The sequence below is a fragment of the Homo sapiens genome, chromosome 5, assembly GCF_000001405.40.
Source record: "Homo sapiens chromosome 5, GRCh38.p14 Primary Assembly".
In the NCBI taxonomy this organism is placed as follows: domain Eukaryota; kingdom Metazoa; phylum Chordata; class Mammalia; order Primates; family Hominidae; genus Homo; species Homo sapiens.
This window is the reverse complement of record NC_000005.10, coordinates 167,805,245-167,824,716: the sequence shown is the minus strand read 5'-3', so window position 1 is coordinate 167,824,716 and position 19,472 is coordinate 167,805,245. Positions and strand designations below refer to the sequence as shown.

Genomic DNA, 19,472 nt, shown 5'->3' with positions numbered 1-19,472 from the left:
CAGATTTATGAGGATGTGGCAGATTAGAGAAGACTTAGACTTGATGATATGGAAAGCCATTCACCACAGGGCTCTGCTTATCTTTCTAGTACAATCTTTTGCCTTCCTCATGCCTTGGGTGCCAGCTTTACTGAACTCAGTACTTGAAGTTCCTTGATTTGCTAAGCATCTGCCATGTTCTGGGTGTGGAGACCCCTGCCCCTTGGCTTCCAGGAGAATCTGCCAGGCCAGTTCTCTTAAAAAAACTGCATCTATGAAGCTTGTTCTGACCTCTCTGAGCTCTGAGGGTTGCCAGCTCTCTCCCCTGCACCCACATAATACCTGTGGCCATACAAGGCTTTCCTCTCTCAGCCCTCATGGCACTGAAGACAATGCTTTGTTCCATTTTTGTTCACAGATCTTCTACATGACACTAGGAGATCCTTGGTGGTGGTGGCAGGGTGAGGCATATCACACTTGCTTTCCTTCCCGGGGTCTGTCAGAGTGTCAGGCACATAGGCAGGGATTAAAAGAGGCCTTATGAAGTGAAGGGACCTCCTTGGCAACTTCTGCTACCTCTGTGCTATCTGTGGGTTAGGATGGTGGTCATGAAGGACGACAAAGGCAGCAGGCGATGCCTCTGGCCTCCAGGACAGTACGCAGGGCTGAGCTTTGCTGGGTCCTCCTCAGTTCCCCGGGGAGAAGGCAGGGGAGCCATCACAAACCTGAATTAGGTAAGGTGGGTCACACCGTTCTGAATTTCAGCCTTTGGACCCAGAGGCTGAGAGAAGTGTGGATGTAGCCCTGAGAGTAGGGTGTGAGTAGGAGAGGCCGTCCAACCTACCATGGCCAGGGCAGCTTCTCTACTTCCCCAGCCCCCATTGCAGGCTTTTTCCAGAATGCAACATACAGGAGAATTAGAAAATTCTTCAACTAAATAATGTATCTGTGGCTATTTAGGATAGGGTTAAAACTATTTTTTAAGGGTTAAAAAAGTGACTTGCTCCACAGGTCAGCAACTGTCACAACGATTTTTCTCTTGCCATATGCTCCTCTGAATTGCATGAATATGACATTTCTCTCTGAAGCATCTGGTCTCAGCCACTTCAAGGTACCCAAGGAAGCAGCACATTCAGGCTGAGTATATAATAACAGGAGAGCCATTCGCACTCCTGTCATCACAAAAGAAAATACTGCCCTTGCATAAATCTCCATTGTGTTTTATACAGCATTCCAGAAATGGTGCAGGAGGCAATTCAAATGAATAGAAGGAGAATTTGGTGGCAGGGGGGTGAGGGGAAGGGTTTGTAGACTTGTACATTGTGTGTGTCTGTGTGTGCGTGTGTGTGAGTGTGTGGGTGGGTACACATGTATAATTACATATATGCACACACACATGCATGCTTTATGGATCGGTAATTACCTTCACTGCCCAAACATCAATTTTTGTTTTTCATGGAAAAGAGCTAAGCATTCTAAGCATCTGATGAAAATAGAGCTCCACCAATCTGCAAAATATGGACAGAGAGGTAGGGCATATCTCTATTTCAGCACTTTGAAATACAAAAAAAAGGGAAATTTCCCATCACAGGCCAAAGGCAAACTAGCACTATCAATCTCCGACCACATTTTCCAGACTAAGAAAAAAATCTGGCAAGCGATGCAGTACAAAGGGTTGCCTCTCTCACACTGGTAACAACCTTTATCAAACGGATACATTTACCTATTTTTTTCCAAAGATCTCACCCCACTTTCTCAAATAGTTCATTAAAAAATCCAAATGGGTTTAATAAAACGTTTATCACCTAACAAATGGTTCCAACGTCCGTTCTTTTCTTGTCCTGAAGATCTGTGTGCTTATTTTGTCAGAAGCACAAAAAGTAGAAATGCAATTGCATTGGTACTGATGCTAAATGTTAATCGATTTGCCTAAATGCCTGCTAATAGCCCCCCTACAATTAGCTAGACTAGTAGTGCATGCCTAATGTGTTGTTGTTTTTGTTGTTCTACTTGCTTCTTTGCTTCTCCTTCTTTTATTAGAGAGGAAAAAAAAGACCCCTGGAAAAAAGTAAAGGCCTTTGCATGTGAAACATCTCCAGTGTGACATGTGAATTCTGTAGAAAGAACATATATTCTGAAACTATCCCACAGTTCTGACATTCTGTCATGAAGGTGACAAATCCTAGTGCTCTAATGTTTCATTAAATTAAACATGAAATGTTTAATGTTTTGTTAAATTAAACATGAAGCTGTGACTCTGCGCCCAAGAACCACAGGCTTCTAACAATTCCTCACATTCCTTCAGGTCACTTCTTAGGTTATAAAAACTAAGTTTTGTTTAATAGAAGTATTGCATTTCCCTGCACTTAAGATGTACTTTCTTCTAACGCACTTATAAATAGAAACTAACAAGCGACCCAGTTTTTGCATGTTTAAAACAGGTTTAAACTCAGTCCTACGGAGACCAGCTTATTGACAACCCCTCAGCTAACCCTCTATAATCATTTTTTTTTCCTTTCAAACATTCACAATGTGACCGAGAGGGCGTGGGTGTTACATTTTTAATCAAATCCCAAGCCCATTTCACAGATGGGCATGCTCTTTCCCAAAGAGTGGAAGGTTTGCTGGAAAAGTGTCCAAACAGATTCCTCAGACTAAAGACTAAATCTTGCCTGCCCCAATAAAACAAAACAAAACAAAACAAAACAAAATGAAAAAACAAACAAACAAAAACCCTGTTTCGCCTTTATCCATGAAGATAAAACTTTTCCTTCACAAGACAAAACCACAGCACTAATTTGGGAAGGCATTTGTCCAAGCAGAGAGAAGTACGCGGGGCTTTTGAGACTACTGAATGAAAGTTCTGGTGAAACCACTTAAAGCAGTAGATAAGCAAAGCACAGACCCTAATGAGAGAGGATGGAATGAAACTCAGACAAGAACGTACTCCTTTCCTTACCAGTTCAATGAAATCATCAAAAGGGACTTGTAGAGTTCTTAGTAATAATACATTTATAGCAATACATCACATAACAAAAAAAATTTCCAAAAACTATGTTATAAAACACTCCATATTTTAAATGGAGAAAGAAGAAAACAACAAATCTGTAGCCAAATAAGAGGAAAATATATACTCTTTTCCCACGATGGAACTATCGGATCATGTTTACATTTGTCAAGTAAATTTTAGTGTGCTATATAGATGGTTTCTAAAGGACATCCCATAATTGTCAAACCAACAACAACAGAGAACCATCCCCCAAAAGGACAAGTCACACAAAGCCTTCCTTCCCAATCAAACTTGTCATCTATGCTTTTTCTGTGTTTACACAGCAGCTCCTATCACTGGCCAAAAACTGTAAAACAGCCCAGATTTGAACAGATCCTTGCTCTGCGAGAACCCTCTCCCAGCTAGTTTACCCAAATCGGTAGGAATGTAATTGACACTTACCATTCTGAAGCTTCATGTCTGTGAGGCAAACTAAATAAATTAAATGGATCCTGCTTGAATCTTCTTTTCTAGACCCCAAATGCCTTAATCAAAAGGAAAACAAAACAAAACAAAACAAATGTTCCCTGAGGTCCTTTTCTAAACCACCAGAGTATAGGCAAAGGAATCGCTGTCCCTTTCACTAAATGCCCAGAGCCTGTCCCTGAAGATCCTCTACAATAGAGAATTATTCCTTACCCCACTCCCCACCTTTTCCTTCACTTCTATCATTTATGGCCAAGACTAGGCTTAAGTTGCACTGTAAATCAAAATCTGGAAGATGTTTCAGTTGGATATTTGGCTTGGCAGACCTCCTGTGAAAATCCCACGTGAAGACACATTGTTTCCTTCCTGCAAAAGAACTGTGGCGTTTGTGGTCCCTCTCCCTCTCCCAATGCACACTTTGCCTTTAAATGAGCTTAAGCTGCAGGACTTCATTTGGGGTTAGTTGTCCCGCAAAGCTCATTTGGCTCTTCCCATTAAGGCAAGAGGCTCTAAAAGGCTAGCAAGATGCTTTTCACTATGTTTGAGGGGCCAGTCATATCTTGTTAGCAACAGCTGCATACACTTACCCGGCTCTCAGGGCCTTGACGGAGATATCCTATTCCTTGTGGGATTAGGAACGCAAAATGAAATTAACCAATCTTAGCCGGAGCCATCCAGGCCACACCAGATTCTCATTCTCCAAAAGCCAAGTGAGGCACCTTCCTCTGGAGTTCCTCCTCTGTTGGCTTCTCCCTGGCACATCCAACCTGCCAAGGTCCTGGCTGCAGTTTCAAAAGTACCACTCAATAAAAGGATTTCAAAGGCTGTGCCGGGAGCCGGGAGCTTCAGATCCCAGTTTGGCTTTTTCTCCATCAGCATTCCTCAGCAAGCCTGCACAAAGCGAGGTACGCTACATTATTTATGTCAGCTCTAGGCTCTGGAAAACACACACTGGCATCCTGATTACTAAGAATCCTCATGGATACAATTAAACTGTTCCCACATATATTTCTCCCCCTCTCTTCCCTGATTCAACCTCTTTCAGAGGGAACAAAAACACTTTGAGGCGTGTCCCAACTCATCTATTAGAAGCCAAGAGGGAATTAAAATATGGCCACCACAGCAAATGAGCCCAGGGAAAAGGACTCTTTCCCTGGAGTGAGCAGAAGACACTCCAGGGAGGAAGGTTCAGATAACAGTTTGGGAAATGCCCTTCACGTGACCTCCCTGGGTTTAGGAAATTGACATGGAAGCAGCAAAGTTGAGGCAATACAAAAAACATTTTGATGAATTCATGGAAGATTGATTTAGAATGGGCTGTTAAGGGAAGTAAGGAATATTTGGTGACATGACTAACCTTCCTAGCTGGATGGAGAGCAATCACGCTCACTCCACAAATGCTCCTTGGTGCCCCATTGAAGCCACAGCCCTAGACAGGAAGACCACAGATTTAGCCAAGTAGAGCAATGATTCTGTCCTCAAGTCTCCTCTTCAGCAAAATGAACAGTTCTCCAAGTTGCAGTCCGCCATTTCCCTTCTCTATAGCTCAACAGCACATTATGAGCTGGGCATGTTAGCCACAGGCAGAATGAACTGCACCCTGGCACGGTAAAGGTAAGATGATGACAGGAACTTCCTCTTTTGGAGGAGTAATCAGAAGGCTATGAAATTCCCCCAGTGTCTAGCTAGAGAGTCCCTGCTTGGCAGGCAGAGGTGACTTCACTTTGTGAAAGCCCCAGGCACCGCTTAGTGAAACAACCTTTGGCAGGACCTCACAGTTAAGTCAGTTCATCTAAGCAAGAAGTCAGCTTGGGGAAAGTCAATTGTCTCATCCAAGAACACAAGGAGGCAAGAGCCACCTGCTTCTCTCAACAGCTTCTCCTGAACATGCATCCCTGTGTTTTGCCAGTTTCCTTTCTTTTTCTTTTTTAAGTGACTGTCACTTCCAATGACTTTGTCCAACCCAACTTAGATATCTTGGGAGGAAAAGCGCTGTCTGAGATGGAAGCAATGGATAGAGAACACAGTGCAGGTCAGTAGAAAAGAGCCCGGACAGGGGAAGTCCCACTCTCCAGTGCACACATTAGAAAAGCAATGGGAATTGGGCTTCAGTGCAGGAAGAAGCAGGACTTCCCTCAGCAATAAATGAATGAAGAGTAGCATTAGAGAACGCGCACGCACACACACACACACACACACACACAGTCACACACCACACAATGATACAACCCAGCTACCCAAAAACTGGATGAATGGCAAAAAGTAAAGGATACAGATTGCCCTGTGGGATGATGTCACGTGAGTGTGTTGGTTCCCTAGGCCCAGAATGCTGGGTTATCCAGCCCACTAACCTTTAAGGAGGCCCTGGCCACATCTGGAAACAACTGTGCTCTCAGCTTGAAGCGGTTCCTCTCATCCTCCCCACTAAGGAATTCAACCCGCGTTGTAATTTTTTGAATAGGGTTTAAAAGCAACTAACTGGAGCGATGAGAACAGAGACTGTTCCTTGGGATGCAGATTATTGAAGAAAATTATATCTTTTTCCAATAACTAAGTCATAATCAACTCAGAAGCTGACCTCAGGCTAAAAGTCTCAGCAAAGATCCCTTGGGACACCCTCACTGCCCTGAGTGCTGTGATGTGGGAAGGCCTAAGGGTCTGCCAGTCATATGCTGACCCCGTGGCCTTGGGAAAGTTGTTCATCCTCCTTGAGACTCAGTTTCCTCATCTGGAAACTATGGGTAATGAGATCATATTATTTTCGAGGATTCAGTAAGAAATGTAAAGTACTTAGTTAGCTCTGTGCTTAGCATCTTATGAGCTTATAACAACCCTCAGCTATTATAAATTTTCAAAATGTTATCAGTTAAATGGCACAAAACTTACACTGACGAGGTTCACACATGCATGAACCACATCTCTAAGTGCTCCCCAAACAACCAGATTGTTATTGACAATCTGTGTGCAAAGCACCGTAGTCATCACTGTCATTTGCCTTCAATAAACTTGTCTAGATGAGCTGCCCCATGACAGAGATGTCAATAAAAACTAAACAAGAGTATAAAAACTGAGAACATTAAGAGGAGGATCATGAAAGTTACCTTTTTAAAAAGGAGATTCCATAGTTTTCAACATCAACTGAACACCTTTCTGTTGATTTAACTGTAAAGTAACACTATTTCAGATTTTTGATACCCAAAACAGGGCTGCTGTTTAGGAGATGGGGGGAAGAAAGTGACCATGAGCCGCACCCTCTAGAATCTTCATCCTTCTTATCTATACATCCCGTCTCCCAAGTTACAGGGAAGAGAGGCTGAGAACTTCCAATCTAATGCAAAACTGGCATTTCCTGAAGGAGGGCAAAGGTGACAGGACAAATGAAGGGACTTTGCTCAAATTCATGCCCCCAGCAGAGCTGGGCTGGAACACACAAGACTGACTTCCTATCAAATGTCCCCACCATTCCCCCACAAGGCTGAAGGTAAAACCAGTGGAACTCATAGCCAGCGTTTCATCTCACTATCCGACAAATTGGTTTCAGTTCAATCCAGCCTCTCTACGTTAATACTGAGCTTACATGACCCATATTTAACTTTTTACTGAACATATTTTTTTTTCAGATAGTGATTGCTTTAAATTTTGATTTTAAGGTCCTACTTTGTAGAGAAAAGGTTCTACTTTTCACAGTTTGTTAAGCCATCTAACTATCTAATGGTTTTGATGGCCACTTCTAAATCTTTTGAGTAAGAAAAGCAATACTTCAAACTCTTCATATTTTATAAAGGCTGTCTTTTCATAAGATGGCATCACACATATAAGTTATTAATATCTTTGAAGAATACAGAAGTTTTTTCCATATATTTTTCTCTAATGATATAGTTAAATAGATAATTGCACCCTTTTCTGTATAAACAAATAAAAGATATCTTGAACATGCAGTTATTTGAAGTACTAATCACACTTCTTGCTTACATAAACAAAGGCTTATCAAAATTATAAGTCTTCAGAAGAAGCAGATTCTACAACATTTTCTCCTCTAAGAAATATCAGCACACTATATCCTGATGCTGGACTGAGTGAACATCATTAAGATCCTTTTCTCAATTAGAGTTCCAAACAACTCTATCGTTTGCTTCCTGTCAAAACACCTGAACAAAAATATGATATGTTGCATCATTCGCTGAAGCTATTTCTCCAGTTGGAACATGAATTACGAGTCCTTCTGAAACACATCAACCAAATCAAGTTGTAACAAGGCCCTGTTTTATTCACTGCACAGATCTCAGCTAATCACTTTCTAATACGAGTCATGATTGTGCTTCATTAAGTTAGCATTTCTCTTATTTTTCCCTTATTTAGTATGTACTTCCATGGTACATACTAATGGTAGAGCCAGCAATAAGTTGAACATTTCTTGCCTTACAAGGTGTACTTCACCCGGGTCATTCTGACTTTGCTGGGCCATTTGTACTTTTACAATGTGTGGGGTTAAGAATGCTTGTTATAAAACACAGGTCTTTCTTTGTCTCTAAATAATACGTAGGCACTTGTGGTGGTCTTTAAATTCTAGGATTTTTTTTTCCATATGGAAGTTCTCACTCAATTTCTAATGATGAATGTCTCTAAATACACACTGCTGAGGTGAAGTTGTGTCTCACTGGCGGCAGAATTGAGAAACTATCACTCCTTCCAACACAGCAACCCGAGGAACTGCCTGAGGCATCCACTTCCTGTTTCCACAGGGGCAGAACAGTTGTTTAAGGCTATCTTTAAATTGGTGGCTTAGAAAATTAAAGTGGCAGAGAAGATTCAGAAACTGTATAATCCTCATCTGAATAACTTTTGTAAATGAAGCAAGAGAAAGCAGTCATCTTGTTTCCTGAAGTTAAAGGTAAGGTCTTTAGAAGGAGGGCTCATAGCATGTTTCTTGTCTATACAAGCTAATTCAAAAACTTGGTTGATTCTAAGTTGTGGTTGGCCAAGAAAGAAGCAGGTAGAGAGATCAAAGGGAATACAGGAAGGGAGTAGAATGTGGCTCCATGTTCCCCACACCTTCCCCTCCCTTCTGTTCCGGAAACAGGTGTCTTCTGCATACTTCTTGGGATCCTTCATGATTGATAATGTGGCTCTATTGTTTTTTCTTGACTGAGTCACCAGTGAAGGTAAGGTTTCTCTATTGTTTCCCTGTTGTTTTAGCAACCACTCTCCAGGGCAACTCTCTCTTTCTGAGTTATTCTACATCAGAGGAGAAACACACACACACACACACACACACACACACACACACACAAAGGATCATAATGGGACTTAAGTGATCCTTTAGGTCAAACCCCTCATACTATGGAGGGAACAAAAAAAGGTCAGGGGAAAGAAGAGATCTTCTCAGTGTCATGTAGGGGCTCACTATGGACCTGGGAAGAGAATCCCAGTGTATACATTAGCATCCCTCTCATCTATATGGATCCATTATTTTATTTTCCCTCTCATTCTCCCACATGAACCATCCCCCTGACTCTCCCACCCTTTTCCAAGAAAAAAGATCACAGTCAATGTTTTCTTGTTCTGTGATGTCCTATTGCTAGGGAGGACAGTCACTGTGGGCATTATTCTAAGGAAGGCTTTGTAGGATTTACATAGGTTCTGTTGTGGATAGAACCAAAACTATAGGAGAAGCCATTCCCCAGAAGTGTTCACAGCCAAAGCATGGCCTCTTATTGTAACTTGTGAAGAAATCCAACCTCTTGGTCAGACACAATTGTATTTGAATCTCTTCCTAGCTGTGTAAGTCTCCCATTTTAGCCTCCCCATAAATACAACGATACAATGATGAGAATAATGGTGCTTGGTTCACTTAGCTCATCTGGGGGTTAGATTTAATATGTCATGCCTGGAAGATACTGAAGACTTGGTAGCTAGGAGCTGCTATCATCTTTCTCCCATGGGCTCAGATATATTATGGGATCGTTACAAACTCTCCCCTTTCACTTAAGTCCAGTGCAGCGTCCACTCTTTTGAGGTGAATCCTTCTCTGAAAGGCACATCTCCTGAATGGCCTGCAATATCCTGCCTTATGAAAGTCACATGAAAAGGGTTAATACGACATGTCAGATTGAGGCAGCATGAACATGTGTGATTTTCTGCTTAAAACCACAAAGAAAACAAAACTTCACACAACAGAGAACTGTGTGTCAGAGCCACAGGAATTCTGCTGTGGTTGACGTCTCTGTAGGGAGACAGACATTCCAGGAAAAGTAGATTCACACTCATCCCCACTGACCAAGGCAGAGCTGGCTCTGCCTCCTCTATTAACACATGAGGAATTTCTCTCCATCGGCATTTCCCACATTAGCCGTTTCCTCACACATTCTGGGTATTTGTTCTAGCCAACCCTTCCTGATTGGAGCTGCTGGAGCTGCAGTTTCATCTAGTCTTCAATTCTTTCCTTTACTTTTTTTCTGCAACTTGACTTATTGTTTCTGACTTTCGTTTCATCTTAGTTAATAATATCCATAAAATCACAGCTTGGATGTGCTAGCTGTACATAACTACATTTATATAGATATCTATATATATGTATGTAATATATATTTCCTAAAATATATTACAATAAATAAATATTAAAACTTTTTTTTTTAAATAAAATACTTCAACCATGTGCCTCTTAAGGATATCTTGCATACTTACACCACACAGATTGGTACATGGCACCCATATATGCATTTGGAAATACTGTCCTAGATAAAATTTTATCCTTTTTTGCTTATTGCTTTTCTTTCTTTTTCTTTTCTTTTTCTTTTTTTTTTTTTTTTGAATCGGAGTGTCTACTTTGTGCCTTTCCCCCTTCAGAATGCAGTGCCTCTGAGTGAAACGTCACCAGGAAAAGAAATGTTCTAAAAATGAGGTTTTCATTATGTCCTATAGCCCAGCTAGAAAACTCAGAGAAGAGCCTACGTGCTACTTTTCATCCTGGGGACTGATGCTTGAATGTGTTAAAATGCTATTTATTTTCCGACAGACGACTTGGGCTTGGCACCATGTAAACCCAAAGTGTTTGTAGAGATTCCCTTGAGGACAAAGGAAAAATCATCTGTATAGATCAAACGTGTATTAGCTGCATTAGCAATTGGCCCCTGGAGACTGACAAAGACCTTTTTAGACAGATTTCATTGCACGGCTTTTTAAGAGCTTTCATTGAACTAGCCTTGAGCATCACAGGTATGGGGCTTTCTTCACGTCCTAAGTGTCAGAAAAGAAAGGTGGACGATGAGAAGCTGGGATGAGAACTGCTACCTTCATTGTAGATGAACCTCAACACGATGCCCATGCTCCCGTCCCTATCAATATTTCATGTTACCAGAGCCATAAGAAAACACATCTGTTGCCTTCCTGCATTGTAATATGTAGGATGGTGGAAAGATGATTATAGCACAGGTTCAAGGATTTAAAAATTCATCACCTTCTCAATTTAGAAAGCTGATTTGTGGTTAGGACTTACGAAGGCTACACAACTGAAATGATCAACTGGGGGCATAGCCTGTTCCCAAGAAATCTGGGGAGTAGGGGATGCAGTGAGAGGGAGGGGGAGGTTGGAACTGTGATTGCTCAGGCTGCTGACTGGGCCAGTGGTTGAAGGCTTCAATTTGTCAACATACTGTCAATGCAATGTTTGCTTTGTATCATGGCATGGTATGCGGAATAGAGAGAGGAAAAAAAATGCTGCCACAGTTGCAAGCCCAGAAGCAAACCCCAAGTTTTCAACAGACATGCATCTCCCTGCTCCTCCAACACTGCAACACTCTTTCTGCCATAGCTCAGTGGTTTCCAGTGCTGACCTTAGTTCCACTGTGTGTGTGTGTGTGTGTGTGTGTGTGTGTGCAGAACTTGTAAGCTCTTCAGCAAAAGGACCCTTTTCCAGAACCCTGGGCAGACACGTAATATTTCCCCTTCCTCTGAAAGCCTCCCAAATCATTCATCTGGATTGGCTTCACTTCTTTATTTCACTGCTGGAAACATTTTGGAGACTCATACAATCTTACAACCTCATCCCATCTCTACTAACTGGGATGCACACATCTCCCTCAGAATGCAGAGGCCCAGCCACTGCTCATGAAGAAACAGAGCTTCCACCCCCAGCAAAGGTGGCCAGGAAAGTCGGGTACTTTCCAGTGCTGGATACAAACCTTTGTATTTCCAGCAGCTGCCCTACAGAAGCACGAAGGAATGTTTAACCTGCAGCAAAATAGTTAGAAAGGAAATGAGTATAACTTTCTGGCCTGATAAATTATTTCATATTTCTTATGCCCTGTAGCCTGCCTTTTTTGCAGTGCTAAGTCTCAGTGGAATGAATACCAGGGATGCGGTCACCAGTCTGTGTGGCATCGGGTCCCTGACTGTGGTTCACAACATATTATTGCTTCTCTTCTGTCCCTCTCCACTCTCACTGCCTTTCTCATTTGCTTTGTCCCTTGGTCATATCACCTGGCCATCAAAGATAGGCATTGCTCAGAAAGATGGTTCTCCTTGGCTTGTGAGTATAAGACACAAATATCCTCAGGCGCAAGCCTGGAGAAGAAGGAGTTACTGTCTGCTGCAGCCAACTGTCCAGGGAGGGTCTTTTCCATAGACATAAAAGGATATCAGCAGGATACACACTCAGGCTGGCGCTTAAAGAATGCAACTCTAAGAAATCCTGGTACATTTGATTTGATACAGAAGCATTAAATGTCCACGAGCAGCATTCACCAATAAATTAAAGAAATAAAAAGCTTCATTCTTCCCATTTAAGTCAACAAATAAAATGCTGGGATGCCTGATCCTGAGGGTTCTACACAGATGCCCCCTCCAAGGGCAGTGCCTGCACTCAGAGAGTGGATTGTCTTCAAGCCAGGTCTACGAGGCAAACTTGCACAATTATCACTTCAGCAGGGACAGAAGCAATGCCCTAGGATGATCTTTCCAAAATGGAAATCTGAACCTCAGCCCTACTTAAAAATTCTCCCTCGGCTCCAGACAAAGCCTTCATTACATTCCATCATCTTCAGCCCCTTCTCTATCACCTGCCTTTTACTTTGTGCTGCAGGAATACTACATTTTATTGGATGATCTCATCTTATGTAGCACTTTAAGTCTTTATTTATGAAGTTTACTAAATTTAGAAAGGTTTTATCTTCCACTCCCTTATTTTTTAAACATTGGGTATAATTCTTATCCATCCTTCAAGATGCATTTAAATCCCTTTTGCAGGGAACTTTCCATGTCCTCTACCTTCCCCAGCTGAAATGACGTCCTTGTGTATGTGCTCTAGGCATAATAGTCTGACCTTTATATTAAATAATTTGTTCTCTGCAAAGCACTTAAACCAGTGAGCTGCACATAGTAGCTGCTCAATAATTTTTACAGTTGTGATTATCCTACCTTATATATGTAGTATTTGCTCATCTCTCTTAAACCCCTATTAACCCATATATGCCTAGTATTCCATTACTGGAACGCCAAGCTGGTGGGAGCTATTCATATCCTGCTGCTCAAGGTCATCGCTGAGGTCTGATTTTTCACACAAAAAAACTGCAACCTCCAGCATAAATGGGTTAAACACAGAACTCTATCCATGACTTATTTGAACCATTAACATCTTGACAAATATTTGGCACACAGTAGGTGTATTAGGTCATTCTTGCATTTCCATAAAGAAATTCCTGAGACTGGGTAATTTATTAAAAAAAGAGGTTTAAGTGGCAGATCGTTCTGCAGGCTGTACAAGAAGCGTGGCACCTGCCTCTGCTTGGCTTCTGGGGAGGCCTCAGGGAGCTTTTACTTATGGCAGAAGGTGAAGCAGAAGCTTGCACCTCACATGGTGGGGTCAGGAGCAAGAGAGAGAGTGGAGGGAGTGTGCATGCCACACACTTAAACAACCAGATCTCATGAGAACTCACTATTGCAAGGACAGCACCAAGCCATGAGGGATCCATCCCCATAAACCAAACACCTCCCATCTGACCCCACCTCCAACAATGAAGATTGCAATTTAACATGAGATTTAGAGGGGACACATATCCAAACTGTATCAGTAGGTTTCAGGTAGGATTTGCTGAACTAAAATGCACAGTTTGTGCAAATCCTACCTGAGAATTCTACACTCTGGGGATTCTACACAGTGTCTACTTCCTCCTTGCAGCGATATATCATGCAAAAATTTGGAGTAAGATTCTTCTCAATTCTGTTCTCAGTAGCATAAGTCTCAGACGTGTCTTTCATTCTGTGTGGCCACTATTGTCTGGTTGCATTATGTACCAGGGTGATATCCAGAAGCCACAAATCTCAGGAACCAAAGGAGAAGACGTAAGAAAAGAGCTTGCTCTCCTCTTTCCATTACTCTAATGAAACTATGTGTTACAGTGCCTTTCCTTAATCTGATTTGAGAAGGGCCTTAATAGCAGGGTGAAAGCAAAGAGTGAAGCCAGTTCTTCAAGGAGCTGCTTGCTTTAATGGCAATTTCTTTGTTGTCCATTGTGACAAGTGTGGCCTCTGACTGGGGCCAATTGTTGCACTTGGATACAAGCATGGCTCTCCCTGAAGTTGCACACATTTCTTAGGGCACAAGTCAGCCCTTCCTGATTTAATTAGAGTTTTCTTTTTTTTTTTCCTCTCTCTCCACCTCTCTTGACCTTCCGCTTGATTATGTAGTGAAGTATTCCTGGAGAGCAATAATCCTGTAAGCTCAACATCAACCTTCACAGCTATGAAAATGACAAAGCTGTCAAAATTTCAGCCTTACAGCTTCCAGATGGGGTTAGTATGGACATGTAATGGTGGCGAAATGGGGAGACCAAGTTCCGTTAAGGGGAAAAAATGAAGATTTAAAGAAATAAAAGGACCCAAACAGTGACAATTGGAAGCTTTACATTTCAAGTTACACTGGAAACTTCTGCCTTTCTGTATGCGCCACTAACACCGTGATTTAGTAATTTCCATGGGAGCTGCCATCGCCTCAGAATACTATTAGTGTCAGAGTCAAGGAAAAAAAGGAAGTCTTCTTTTTCTCCCAGAGTATGCAAACAGAAGCTTAGAAACATGTTTGCATTTGGATTGGATGATCTAAACCAACAAAGTTCAACCTTTTCACTAGGAGCTGTGAGCTGTTTGACAAGACCTACTTTTTATCAGGCAGGTTCAAAGTCTACTCACTGCAGAGGCTTCCTTAATAAGAGGGACTAATAAGATTATTTCCTTAAAGATCTAACCTTGGCACCCATCCTCCAACCAGACGGCAGAGCAAATTCATTCTCTAAATTGCTTACCTTCAAAAGAAAATCTCTATTGACTGGAGCAAGGACCTGGCATGGCGCACCAAGATGCTGTTAGTAGAATTCTCATTTGGATTTGAAGAGCCTATTATTTTTAGTTTCTCTTTCTCTTTTTGGAATTCTGTTTTTCTATCACCAAAATTTAATTCCCCAAACTACATATAAAGATCGCATTTCAATGGGCTGATTCAGAATCATTGATGGTACACCTGTCCCCAAAATCTTCCCCTAACACTTTGCCTCCACTCAAGGACATATTTTGCCAACTACTTAAAAAAAATTAGCCAACACAAGCACATTTCTGGCCAAGCAGGCTTCAATGTAAGGAAAGAGAAATGGGGCATATCTGTATTAAGTATATATAGAATAGAGAAAGACTATTCAGAAAACTTTTCCAAGCTTGTATTTTGACCCATTTGGGATCACAACACAAAATCTTCAGTTGAATGGGGAGGTTCAGGGGAAGAAAGATCATGTGATCATCAAATTGAATTCCCTCTACCTTCTCACCTCCTGCTCTCCTGCAGCATGGCTTATGTGATCTGCTGAAATAATGAGAGCCATTTTCACTCTCATCCATGGGTGGGATGACATACAGCCATTTAAAACTGGCCCTGTTTGAAGAAAAGTGATTCAAAAATGGGACCATTTAAACAGGTCACTGTATTTCTCAAAGGTGAAACAGTGATCAGTGTATGACATTTAATGATGTAAAAGGGGCATGAAAAAGAATTTTCTCTGGATGAAACTGGAGTTGACTCTCTTCTCGGGAGCAAGAGGGTTGAAGCCAACTGTGGATCTTGGTTCTTTTCTGTCCCCCATCACTGAGACAGCGTCTTGTGTAACTTTGTGTCTTATGCCTAGCATCCTGGAGGATTAATTCCACACTGACTGCATTTCACTGATGTTATCTTATACATTTCTTTGTTCAACTTAAGACTTCTGAAATAAGAATCCCTTTTGTAACTGAGGGTGCGGCACAGTTTAATTGGCTGAGTTTTTCCCTCTCTTATTCATACATAAAACAATGATACATCTTGCAAATGAGTGCATTTTAGTATTGACGAAATATTGTCATAGACACTTTACAAATATTGTGTGGATAAATGACTGAATGAATAGGACACCTCCTCCTGAAGTTCTCAATATTTAAGGGAACAAATGTATTTAATGACAAAGACAAGTTATAAGTTTTGCATTATTGACAAAGATACACTTTTTAAAATCCTACATGGATATATTAAAAACAAAACAAAACAACCCAAAATAACAAAGGCTGAAAGACAGGAAAAAAAGACAAGGGGTTTCTATCTCTCTTACAATAAAGGTAATAGTATAAGTAATGAAGTTGACATTTGCTATGCCAGGTACTTTCTGTGTATTTTCTTTCAGAAGTTCCAGGCATGGCAAGGTGGCTTACGCCTGTAATTCTAGCATTTTGGGAGACTGAGGTAGGCTGATCACCTGAGGTCAGGAGTTTGAGACCAGCCTGGCCAACATGGCAAAACCCCGTCTCTACTAAAAATATAAAAATTAGCCGGAGGTGGTGGTGCATGCCTGTAATCCCAGCTACTTGAAAGGCTGAGGCAGGAAAATCGCTTGAATCCAGGAGGCAGAGAGTTCAGTGGGCCAAGACTGTGCCACTGCACTCCAGCCTGGGTGACAGAGTGAGACTCTACCTCAAACAAACAAACAGACAAACAAAAAAGAAGTTCCATGTCATATAAATTATCAGTTGTTTCACAGATGAGGAAACTGAACCTTAAAGTGATTAAGTTGCTTCCTCGAGGCCCAACTAGTAACGTAAGTGTAATGAAAAAGTAAATGGTAAAAGCCGTGGTTTGAACACATATTTCTCCAACTCAGATTCTATACTACATCCTGCTGAGACTCAAGAGGAGTTCTTCTGCCAGTGATTGAATGGTGTCCATTTAATTAGGTAAGGTTGGTCATATTGGAAATTAGCATTCAGATTAGTAGTGTTTGCTGTTGTTTCAGTATCTACTACAGTAGTTTCCAAATCTTCTGGGAATCTTTAAAAAACACAGTTGCCTGGATCCCATTCCTACACATTCTGATTTCACTGGTACGGGTGTGACCTGGGCATCAGGATTTTAAAAGTTCCCCAGGTATTTCTAATGCACTACAAATTTAGAAACCACTGCTCTAGGGAGTTTTCATGTTGCCCTGCGGAAAAAGACAAATTCATTCTTGGTGGGAAATTTGCATAAGTGATCACATATAGAGCCTCTTCATCAACTTGCTATTATTCTGCCTCTTCCCTAAGTCACACATGTCATATTTTAAGAGGTTCTGTCTCTTTTTTTTTTTTTTTAAAAAAAATGCATTTATTAAGTCACTTTTAGTTCATTTTCCTGTGGACTTGCTAATGATAGCACATCAAATCAAAATAAAGGGAATTTAGTATTTTAGTTTTGCTACATAGCCTTCCCATGAGTTAACATAGACTAGTGTCTTCTCATTTTATTTACTCCTGAAATATCTTGGTCAATGTCCAGTTTTCTTGGAGAATCACCCCTACTTGATCTCGTGCTATGTAGTGGGCAAGGTGAATGGCCCCATCCTTAGGCTTAGCCTATTAGCATGTTCATCTCTGTGTCAGAGCAATTGCTTTAGGGATGGGTCCATGAACACAATGGAGGCCAGGCTTTTATTAGAACACTGGGGAAGTGTGTAGTAAAGAATTAACCTTACCCCCCAAAAAAGTCTTTTGCCCTCAGCTACTGGGAGGTGACAGCAAAACCCTTGGAATATCCCGACTGACAAAAACTTCTTCTTCTTCTTTTTTTTTTTTTTTTTTTTTTTTTTTTTTTTAACCTAGGGGCTTTGGGCCAAACTGTGCAGTCGAATAATATGATTTATGATGGGGGCTTTGGACCATGCAGTATTAGCTTGACCTCTAGAGGGACTAGAGACTAATGGTCAGCCACAAGGGTAGTCAATTATGTCTTTGTGACTGAGCCCCCAGTTAAAATTCTGGACTTGAAGACTCAGGAAAGATACCACGGTTGGCAGTGCTCTGTGTGTACTGTCACACACTGTTACTCAGAAAAGTTAGCCCTGTCCATGATTACACTGGGAGAGGACAACTGGGAACTTTGTTTTGGGAACTTTCCTGAACTCTGTTCCATGAGTATCTTCTATTGACTCATTTTAATATGTATTCTTTCACCCTAAGAAACCATAACTGCAAGTGTAAGCTTTCAGTGAGATCTGCGAGCCATTTTGGTGAATTATAAAAAATGAGAGTGATCTTAGGGACCCCAAAACTTCGCAGTTGATGTCACAAGTAAGCATGATATTGTGGATTTCCCTGACTCTGTAGGAAAAGAATCTTCTTTTCCATTGGACTTGATCTTCAGAGAACATTAAATTGGAGTTGCTGGGGGCCATCTTCATTACCACGTAGTGAAAGGCAATAGGGAAGAGAAGGTAACACGGGAGAGAAGGGTACTGTGATATTACTTGAGTCCCTGAAATCTAACATGTCTGAAGCTATTCTGGACTTCTCTGCTGTTCCAAGAGTAAAAATCTTTTTTTTTCTTAAATGTGACCTTAGTTGAGATGCTCTCATCTATAATACACTATACTACCTCATTGGGCTCTCCAAAAAATCAGTTATATGACATGATATGTGAAAGGGCTTAGTATATTGCCTTATACATAGTGAGGAGATTGAAAAATGCTTGTCATTAATTATTATTGTTGTCATTTAATTTTTAATATTTTCCTTTTACAAATTTCTTTTAAAGCTCAAGCCTAAAATTTGACAACACTGTGCAAGGTGTGGAGACACTAGGTGACTCTGTCCTGCCTCTACCTTCAGTCCTCTCACAGCCTACCGTGGCATCCGGTGGCTTACCTAAATTTCTGCACCTGTCCCTCTTAACTCCTGAGTTTCAGATACATTTGGGAGCACACTTTGGACTGTCTGTGATAAAATATGCGTATTTCCTGAAACCCAAAGTATTCTCACTGAATGTAATAAGTGGGAAATTATTTTATAGGAAATGAAAATCTAAGATTAATATTCTCCTATGCCATCTAGTCCCCCCAGGACAATTATTCACTGTACTAGAGCAAAATGAACTTGCAAAATATGGGAACTGGTTTTCTTCTCAGACTTTGGATAAATAAACTCCTGAAACTACTCAAAACCAGTTCCTGGATGCTATGCCCACCACCTCACCTCATTAAATAGGCATCAGGTCTTTTAGAACACAAAACTTCAAGGGAATTCATAGCCATTTGCTCAGAGCTAAGCGAAAAGAAAAAATAAAACATAGGTTTAAAACTAATAAATCAGTAAACAGTTATTGATCACTATTTACTGCCACTGTGGGAGGTAAGTTTCATCATGGTTGACCTCAGGGAAGCTACAATAGCCATTTATTCCCTCCTTCAGTCAACAAGTATCTACTGAATTTCTCTCCCTGTGAAGCACTCTGTGAGCTGCTAGGAAACAAAGTGCCCTCATGGACTTATAGTTTTAAAGAGCAACAAATCCCACATTTGGTTCATTCCAAGAATCACAGGAAAGCTTCATAAAAACACAGGCGTCTGAACCTTTTCTCAGGACGATTGTATAAAAAATTTCTCAGGAGAGCCAATACCTATTCTTTTAATAAGTATCCCCCATGATTGTTGTACTTCACCAACTTTGAGAACCATAGGGACAGCTAATAAAACAGATA

At 41.2% G+C, this 19,472-nt stretch overlaps 1 protein-coding gene across 30 annotated transcripts in view; it reads right to left on the bottom strand.

Moving 5' to 3' along the window:
• Positions 1 to 19,472, bottom strand: part of TENM2 (teneurin transmembrane protein 2) — a 1,285,129-nt gene that overhangs the window by 439,441 nt on the left and 826,216 nt on the right. For 3 of the 30 annotated variants that reach the window (XM_047417428.1, XM_047417429.1, XM_047417433.1), the window contains exon 1: positions 3,431 to 3,960. The exons of 24 other annotated variants lie outside the window; for them this stretch is intronic. In XM_047417428.1, coding sequence (XP_047273384.1) covers positions 3,431 to 3,446 — 16 coding nt within the window. In that variant the 5' untranslated portion in view covers positions 3,447 to 3,960. Of the gene's footprint in view, positions 1 to 3,430; positions 3,961 to 4,041; positions 5,052 to 19,472 lie in introns of those variants that run through there. 3 more of the 30 variants (XM_047417431.1, XM_047417430.1, XM_017009668.2) reach the window with 3 other exon arrangements.